The sequence below is a fragment of the Homo sapiens genome, chromosome 2 (assembly GCF_000001405.40).
Source record: "Homo sapiens chromosome 2, GRCh38.p14 Primary Assembly".
NCBI classification, from domain to species: Eukaryota; Metazoa; Chordata; class Mammalia; order Primates; family Hominidae; genus Homo; species Homo sapiens.
This window is the reverse complement of record NC_000002.12, coordinates 119,975,693-119,984,899: the sequence shown is the minus strand read 5'-3', so window position 1 is coordinate 119,984,899 and position 9,207 is coordinate 119,975,693. Positions and strand designations below refer to the sequence as shown.

The 9,207-nt window shown below is 32.9% G+C and overlaps 1 protein-coding gene across 1 annotated transcript in view; it reads right to left on the bottom strand.

Moving 5' to 3' along the window:
- The window catches only part of PTPN4 (protein tyrosine phosphatase non-receptor type 4), a 224,978-nt gene continuing 215,771 nt past the window's right edge, over positions 1 to 9,207 (bottom strand). Inside the window, exon 27 of the mRNA NM_002830.4 lies at positions 1 to 7,916. Coding sequence (NP_002821.1) covers positions 7,830 to 7,916 — 87 coding nt within the window. The 3' untranslated portion in view covers positions 1 to 7,829. The remainder of the gene's footprint in view (positions 7,917 to 9,207) is intronic.

The window sequence follows — 9,207 nt, the reverse complement described above, 5'->3', positions numbered from 1 at the left end:
TTTAGATTACTAAAGCACATCTTTATTTTGCAATTGAACATTAAGAGTCATAGCTAGAGTTGTTTGTCATGTTTGTACCTGAACAACTGTTTCTCAAAATGAAATATGGCCAACAAAATATGTGTAACAGCATTTCACATAATATAAATTGCTCTTAAGACTAAAACAGTATTAATGCAAACCAGCATTTTTATCTTGTTTGCTGTAGTTGTAATTTTTTTGTACATGAATGGCAGAAATTCTAATTTTTTCACTAAAATTAAGACAAACACACAAGGCCTTTCAAGCATACAGTAAGCTGCAGTGACAAATGCAGAGTGATTTCAAATTATGCAGTGTTGACCAAATTCAAGCTTATACACATTTTAAATAAACCCTTAGCTTCTTTGCCTCAATTATGAGATCATATGGAAAGAGATATTTTTGTGATATAGGGGGAAAGGTAATCTAAAAAACTAAGGGACCAATTCTGTTTTGCCACTAGTTTAATAGAATCAAACATGAAATGAATAATTGTATCTTAATTATGACATAAGCTAGACTTTTAACTAAGTGACTTTTCCCCTTCATATTTACAAATAGCACCTGTTACAAGAAAAAAAAAATCCCAAATTAAAACACCCTCCACATAGAAATAATTATTTTTAAAACTACTACTTAAAAATATCAATAATGCAGATATAGTAAATTATCGGTTCTAAAATTAAGCCTACACTGTAGAGAATAAGGAGTAGCTTTTCTTATTTGAAAAGATTACAACATAGATTACAACTGTAATGTCCTGATGCTGGAGAACACTGGGTTGAACAATTTTTATTTTTTTAAGCAGATAGAGTCTACTGGCAGAAAATAAAAACAGTTTAATGTAAACTGTTTCAGTCTCTTAAATCGTGCCCCTCAACATGTATATAAAGTGTCGGGACTTTTATTCCCTTAAACTTACTTGTGCAGCATCTACTTCACCCTAGGTACTACACTGAAAACAAATGGATTTCTAAGTATTCATGTGATGCACAAAAAAATCCAAAGCAGAAATGATAATAAACCAAGCTTAGATGAAACTAGCTGTGAGAACTCAGAGTCCAGTAACACAGTCAACTGGTTATCCTTTATTGTGCTACATAAATTACAGAAAACCTGCAAAGCTAAGATCACACAAGTTGCTCTTAAACATCAAATAAGCTGTGAAGAGATCATTATATTTAAACCTGGGTCCAATCTAATGACCTCCAACACTAATTAAAATTTTCCCACGTTTACAACACTTCTAGGATAATTTTATTTTAAAATGTATAAATTAAGTTGGTGGTCAGCATGAAATAAAGTGCAACTATTTAAAATTCAAAAAATCAAATTTAGCATTGAAATTTGACCTAATCTTGCCAACTCATTAAAAGATGGGAAAAGACAGGTGCCAGAGAATCCCAGACTTGGGTTAAAATTTTCTTACCCAGGAAGGCAAATAACTTGAACACTACAATTCAGGAGTAGAAACTAAAAAGCTTCTTTGAATATATGTTAAAATGAGCTCAACTGTGATGACAGTGGGGAAGTACCCAACTGCCAATTTGTGGAGAAAGCATGAACCAGCACCTGTTTGGGTCTAAGGGTGTGAGCGGGGCTATCTCCCCCTTGACGGATTCCTGGTAATAATTGTACTTAGCGATGTGGCATTTAAGCTTATCACAAGTAATATTTGCTAAATTTTGGAAACTCCCAGGGTTGAGAGAGCCTGACACCAATCCTTTCAACAGTTATAGCAAAGTTCATGAAAGAAGAGATCACTTTGTACTTGAGTACTTAACAAAGAGTTAAATTAGTGATTTTTAAAAAGTTGGAGACGTGGAAAGAGAAATAAAAATAATGAAGTCCTCACTGAGTCAAGTTTCATGAGTGATGAATAATAAATACCACCTTTTAAAGCAGCTGTTGCACGTATTAATCATACCTACAAAGGTGGTTTAAGATGTAGTTCTTGTTCAGCTGAATTAATATAAACTCGTAAGCATATAAGACATCACTGCTACAATTCAGAGTTGGGCCAAGTTGTCTCAACTGTCCAAGACATTGGGAATAAAAAGGCAAAAAGCATTTACTGGGTCAGGGGCCTCTGCACATACTCACTGTAATGAATCTTAGGCACAGTTTTCTGGCTTCACAAAAGTCACACCCTCACAACAATGTCCTCATTTGACAAAGCCTGGCAACGTTCTCTATGGTAAACACATGCAGCAACACATTTATTACCTTCACACACAAACACCCTTCCACACTCCAAAAGTCTAGAATTCAATTATTTTATACTTACAAACAGTATGTGCAAATTTTCTGAAAAGTTTCTATTCTAGAGGCAAAGCAAAATGAAAAAGAATGTACATTATATCTGAAAATGCTTCAATGATTGCTCTTGTTTATAATGAAAATGTTTTTCTTCTAAAATTACATTTTGTACAATGAAGTGTAATACTCTTCCCTTTCTTTTCAATCCCGTGTAGACTTTAAAACAAATAGAGTATCCTTAGAATCAAGCCATAATTCTAATGACATTTGAAAGATACATTCATTTTCTTTACAGCATGAAAGACACACAAATAACATTTTATCTCCTTTAAACAATGAAATTAAAGAAGTTAACAGTTTCAACCTTCTGTCCATAGAAAAATATTTTCTATATCCTTTACACAACAAAGGTAGGAAACTCTACAGTGTTTAAATGAAACTTTTATGAGCTTAACAAGGCTTTCAAACATTTTCATTCTTGCACTGAAAAGTTTAAAAGGTTTCAGGAAGTTAAACCTTTGAACTTTCCCCTAAAATGGTAATCTTTAACTAGCAATATTGCTACTACCTTTTGCTTAGTAAAATTTTTTTAAACTGGTTTACTTATGTATATGCACTGAACCAATGCTGATGGATTGCACCCTAGCAGATATTACTTCTGGTTGCCCATTTAGCTTGGATTACTAAAATAAAAATTATGATTATAACTTCAGAAATCAATAGCATACTACAGTAGAAAAACATACAAATAAATAGCAGCAAATTTATATGCAAACAGAAATAACTATGTGGTGTCTACTCACAACAAATTCATCAGGACTATAAAAAAATATCTAACTTCTGGCAGAAACAGAGATTGCTGTTTGTTTTTTATAACATTGTAAGACACACTGTAGTAATTGCTGAGTATCAATGAAGTCTATATAATGGTTGCAGACACGGTAAGTTGAACAAAAAACATACAAATTAGGGATTAATTTACTGGGTTCTTAATAAAATTGCTGAAATTATTATCAATTAGCCCTCAAAAATGTTTTAGGATTATGTAATTTCCATTTTATCTACATAATTCTCTAAGAGTTTTATAAAATGGTTGCTACAACTTGTATTGTGATCACACTGAGACACCAATAAATCTCTGCCAAGAGATCAGTAAGTCTGATATTTGATAAAATTAATCCAGTAGGTTTTAATAACATAGTTATTTCACTTGGAGGAAGCACCACAAAAAGAATGATTCCAGCAATTGTAGTCAGATAGGTGAAGCAAATGGGGGAAGTAAGCAATGTTAATACAAAGTATTAACTGTGGCAGCTCACATAATGCACCAGCTTTCATCAAAGCAGGCTGTTGCATAATTTATCTATGTCCTATTACATTGAGATTTTTATTCCAACAAATATTTAATATACTTTATTTACTATAAGTGACTGAAATGCAAATTCATCTGAACTATAAAGTAACTACCACAAAATAAAAGAGCCTGTAAACATATCCCACATTATTGTGGTATAAACAATTTTTATGAATTCAAAATTACTTTGGCAACCTTACCATCAGAGTATTTTAAATGTTCAAAATACAGATATTAAATAGCACATTGTTATAAACTAATGTTTCCTTCTCTCTTCCTGATATTATAAAACAAGTAATGCTTTATTTACTTATCTTACATGTTCACATTATGAACACAAATTATTTCATTATAAATGGACATATATTCTAAATCTTAGTTCTATGTTTTGAGTGCTTTTAAAAAATTAGTCTTCTAACTGCAGTCTATAATGTTTTCATACTGCATGTGTTATCAGTCTAAATACTTTACAAAAGCTTATGTTCTGTCAGGCAGGCATGACTAGCAAACTGAGTGGGGGTCCTAATTAGAATCACTTCTTAAGCCTGCTTATTTTCTAACTTAAGTGACATCCTTTAAGGTTGTCATAGTTATTAAGTGAAAACATTGGCTGAGTATGCTTCTCTACTGGAAATAGACAAAAATTCACAAGAATTTATGATATTCACATAGGTTATAATTTATTGAAGTTCCAGTATAATATAGGAATACTAGATAGATAATTAGAAAGCAGATCATATAAGACCAGACTGCTAAATCAATAACCATTGCTGAACCCTATTTCCTAATGCCGATAAAAATGGGCTAAGTGAAGACTGGATAACATTTTTCAAGTTCCTTTCAGCTCTCAAGCTGCAGTACTTCTAGTGGAGATAGAAGACAGGAGACTTTTCCTTAAATACTCTAGACCTGATCAGACCCTGCCAGCAGATGATAACCCAGAAGTTAAAATAATCATTTTCCTCTGTGGGCATTAGCCTTTGTGAAATATACATATAAATAAACACACAAAAGTAGCTCTATGTGTGTGTACACATATTTGAAACCTTCCAGCAATTGTCTTAATGTCTTAACATACCTTTGCACAACTGAAGTCAGATTTCATGTAATAAATGTTCCCTTTACTCTTGATTAAAATCATCAACCACTCCCCTCTCACCTCTTTCTCCTAGCAGACTGTAGAAAGGAAATCATTTCTTAGGCTGTTTACTCTGCCTCTATTTTGAATGGATGCATTGGTTTAACAAATACTATCAATTTTCTGGTGAATGTAAAGTCTATTCCAAATACTCCTCATCATATTTACATGGTGCTGACACAAATCAGATGCTCAATAAAACACCTGAAATGAACAGGAAAAAACAATCCTAACTCAGAAAGGGAAGGTTTTCACAAACACTTCTTAGCATTTACAAAATCCACTTGATTAACCACTATTGATTTCCACTTGTCAGAATAAAAGTCAGCATTGCTTTCTTAAGGGTGTCAAGGTGGGAGGTAGGGGTGGCTGGAAGAGTGGGAGCGTAGCTTAGATACAAGACATTTGGCATTTTATCACACAATGTTACACTGATATGGACGGAGTCTAGAACTACATGGTGTATGAAAGCTAGGATTATTTCTAGAAACCTATTTAGATTGATATACAGGTTAAAAAGTTCTTAGATGTAATGGATAAAGTCTTATCTATTAGCATATTCATTTTAAGAAGTTGTAAAGGATAATTTAAATTTAAATAAGATCCCAATAAATATGGTTTTCAAAAAGGATCTTTTCTGCACATAAAAATGACGACAGTGGGTAGTTCCCAGATGAAAAATTCATATATGAGAAATTTAAATGTAATTCTAAACTTCTAATGATTGGCATTTAAAGACAGGCATTGATGATTTAAAAAGGCAGCAGTGCTCATTGCCAAGAAATTATTAAACTCACAAGTATAAACAAGGCCCTAAATTAAAGAACATGCCAACCATGACTTTTGTCTCTTTACATCTATACAATGATATCTTTTGGTCTATGGTTGTCATATTCTGTCCATACAGATAGAACAGACAAATTTTATTTTTAAATTCAGGTGAAAAACTGCCAAAACAGTCATTTAATGTGTAGACCCCGACATAATTTTACTTTCTCAGTTTTTAATTTATCATGTCATATAGCAGCCTAAATTATATTTGTCTGTTTATAGAACAGAATGACCAAATAAGATTATAAGTTACTTCACTATCTTATACTGTTTTGACTGTGAAGTCAGGAAATAGATTAAGAGAATTTCTCTTTGACATAAGTTTATGTTTACTTCTCTCTTTAAATAAACTTAAATATTTTAATATGATAATTTATTTGGTATCTTGGCTATTAATGTTTAGGAGCTTGATTTCCTGAAATTTATTATTATGAGTTTTGAATGTCTGAAATGACATCGTTTAGATTATACCAAAGATTTAAAATGTGTACTCTTCCCCTCATACTAAATGGCTTTCCAAAATATCTGCCATTTGACTCTAAACTTTATCAAGATCTTACAGAAATATTCAGAAACTGCTAGGAAATGAATCTTTTAAAACCCCAATCCACATAAAATAATTGTGTAAAATAACATTTGTATAGGTGAGCAAATTTTCACTTTTATCAAACTGGGCAATGTTAAGGTTCTATCTCTCTGTAGACTTAAAAACAAAAAAACCTGAAGAGGAAAATACGGGAATTCCCACATCCTTAATGGGAATCAGATCCTCCATTAGGCTGGACAGTCAAAAGTCTCCTTATTAACATGCTTATAACTTAATAAGTATATATAAAATGGAATAATTTAATTGTACACAAAAAAACAAGAAAATTCTCAATTTAGTTATTGAGTTATTACACTTAGAAATAAGTCAATAATGTTTCATTCTTCGTTTGAAGAATCCCAATCAATATATCAGTGTGAACAAAGCTTGATATTAACTGAAATGAGTGCTAAAGAATAATATTTTAGTTATGGACATGAATAAATCACAATTATTTGCTCTAACTTTAGCTTAGATTATCAATATGTTTAACATTAATCTGCATGTTAGATGTCTTCCTAAAGTTAGGGATGAAATAAATATGAAATTTGAAGCATAAAAGCATCTTTTAAAGTTGAGCTGCTAAACCGTAACCCCTCAGTCCCTCAAGTAAAGGAATGTGCAGATTTTGAACAATTCCATAGCAGCAGTGTGCACTCAGTAGAACACAAATTATCTTTGCTTCTTATAGCAAATCACGAGTACTGAGTAAGAAACAGAATTTCCTTACCCTTCTTTGACTGTATAACACTCAATATAGCTGTTTTTTAAAATGTGAACTTATTCAAAATGCATAAAAATATACGAATGTACAATATACATATATACCTCCTAGTGGGGTCAAATGAGTGCCTTTTCGTTAGACATACAAGGACGTCTCAAGGCACTTAAGGGGTTAAGACACAATGCATGCATTCCTTTACATCAAGTATGTGAAATCACATGATTTGGAATAAGCCAACCTTATGATAAATATAAGTTACATTATTAAATCCAAGAGAATTTGTAGATTCATATTTATATTTTCTATAAGATGCTGGTAAATGGACAATGTGCAGCATTTCCTGGGAACAGCAAATTCCATCTTTCTTCTTCTGAGCAGCAGGCAGGTCTCTACAGGGGGTGTGCAGGGAAAAATGTGCTGCATCCATAGGCAGTGTATTGGCTAATATTAAGAACGATATTGCTAAAATTTTAAAAATAAAATCTGGTAATCAGTATAGTAAGTACGCAAACCACTGCAAAAGACCAGAGCTGACTCCTGATGTTTACTTCTTTTTGCTTTCATGATACAGGTGTATAACAGAGATGATGAGAATTTTGAGCCTTGTTTGTGGCAATTCTACCAAAAGGGGATTGCATGGCACCACCACAAAATTTCATAAATTACCCTGAACATACTCAGTTATTTACTATTTGTTCGGAGCAAAGCATGAAACAGTCTTCAAATACATGAGTTATAGATTTTGAAAGAGTGACATTTTTTAAAACATAAAGTGCAACAGTGCTGAAGTTTTCAAAGTTTTTTTGAGTTCTTCATTTTTTTTTTGTAAAATGCCATTTCCTGCGAGCAGCATTATGGCACAGTGAACATAAGGGAAAGCAGTTTTCCAACACATATCCCAGATCTTTTTGCTTTCTTATTTATTTGTTGATGTTGTTAAGGGTTTAACAAAGCCTTCTTCATAAACTTTCAAAATAGCTTCACATACAAATCTGTATTGACTCTGAAAAATAAAATATAAAAAACAGAACTGATCAGAAAAGTCAGAAAACCGTCCCCTCTCCCCCCAAAAAAGACAAACATCTCACTTGGCTTGCTTACTTAAAAAATGCAAAACAAAACTGCATAAAGATACCATTTTTCACTAACAGTCTAGACTGGTTAAAAAATACAGTTTGGCAATATATTTTGTTGGCAAAACTCACTTATATGTTGCTGGTAGGGATGTTAAAATACTGCAGCCTCTATAAAGGGGAATTTGGCAGCATATAAGAAAATTAACCTAATTTACCTCTTCACCCAGCAATCCCACTTCTAAGAATCTATCCAAAAAATAAACCAGAAAAAGAAACTGAAAACACATATTCACAAACAAGGCTATTCATTGCCTAATTATTTATAACAGAAAAGGTGGAAACAATTTAATTGCCATCAACAGGGACCAGGTGACTACTGTACATTCTCAAAATGGAATACTAGCTAGTCGGGAAGAAAAGGGATAAAAGTCTACAAACTACTAGAGAATGATTCCAGGTTATTTTATTAAGTAAAAAAAGCAAGGTAGGTAAAGTACGTATAATATATTATATTACCTTTATAAAAGAAAGGGAAGAAAATACAGTATCTATCTTGATGTATGTTAAGAAAAAAAAAGCAATGGAAGAATAAATTATTTTAAAAATAGTTTCTTGGCCGGGTGCGGTGGCTCACGCCTGTAATCCCAGCACTTTGGGAGGCCAAGGTGGGTGGATCACGAGGTCAGGAGATCGAGACCATCCTGGCTAACACGGTGAAACCCCGTCTCTACTAAAAATACAAAAAAAATTAGCCGGGCGTGGTAGTGGGTGCCTGTAGTCCCAGCTACTCAGGAGGCTGAGGCAGGAGAATGGCGTGAACCTGGGAGGCGGAGCTTGCAGTGAGCCGAGATCGCGCCACTGTGCTCCAGCCTGGGCAACAGAACGAGACTCCGTCTCAAAAAAAAAAAAAATAAATAAATAAATAAAAATAAAATAAAATAAATAAAAATAGTTTCTTATAAAGGGATGGAGGGAAATGGGAGCAGGAGAGGGACAGAGACTAGACTAGACTTCATTAAATATACCTTCCTTTTTAGATTTATACTTTGGAATAATGTAAATATAGCATATAATTATAAAAATCTTAAAATCCCTAAGCATTGACAATATCATAAAACTAATCAATGTGTGTATCTAGTTGATGACAACCATATAGAGGAGAGCTATTTGAAGGGACATTTTTTTTTAGACGGAGTCTCACTCTGTCACCCAGGCTAG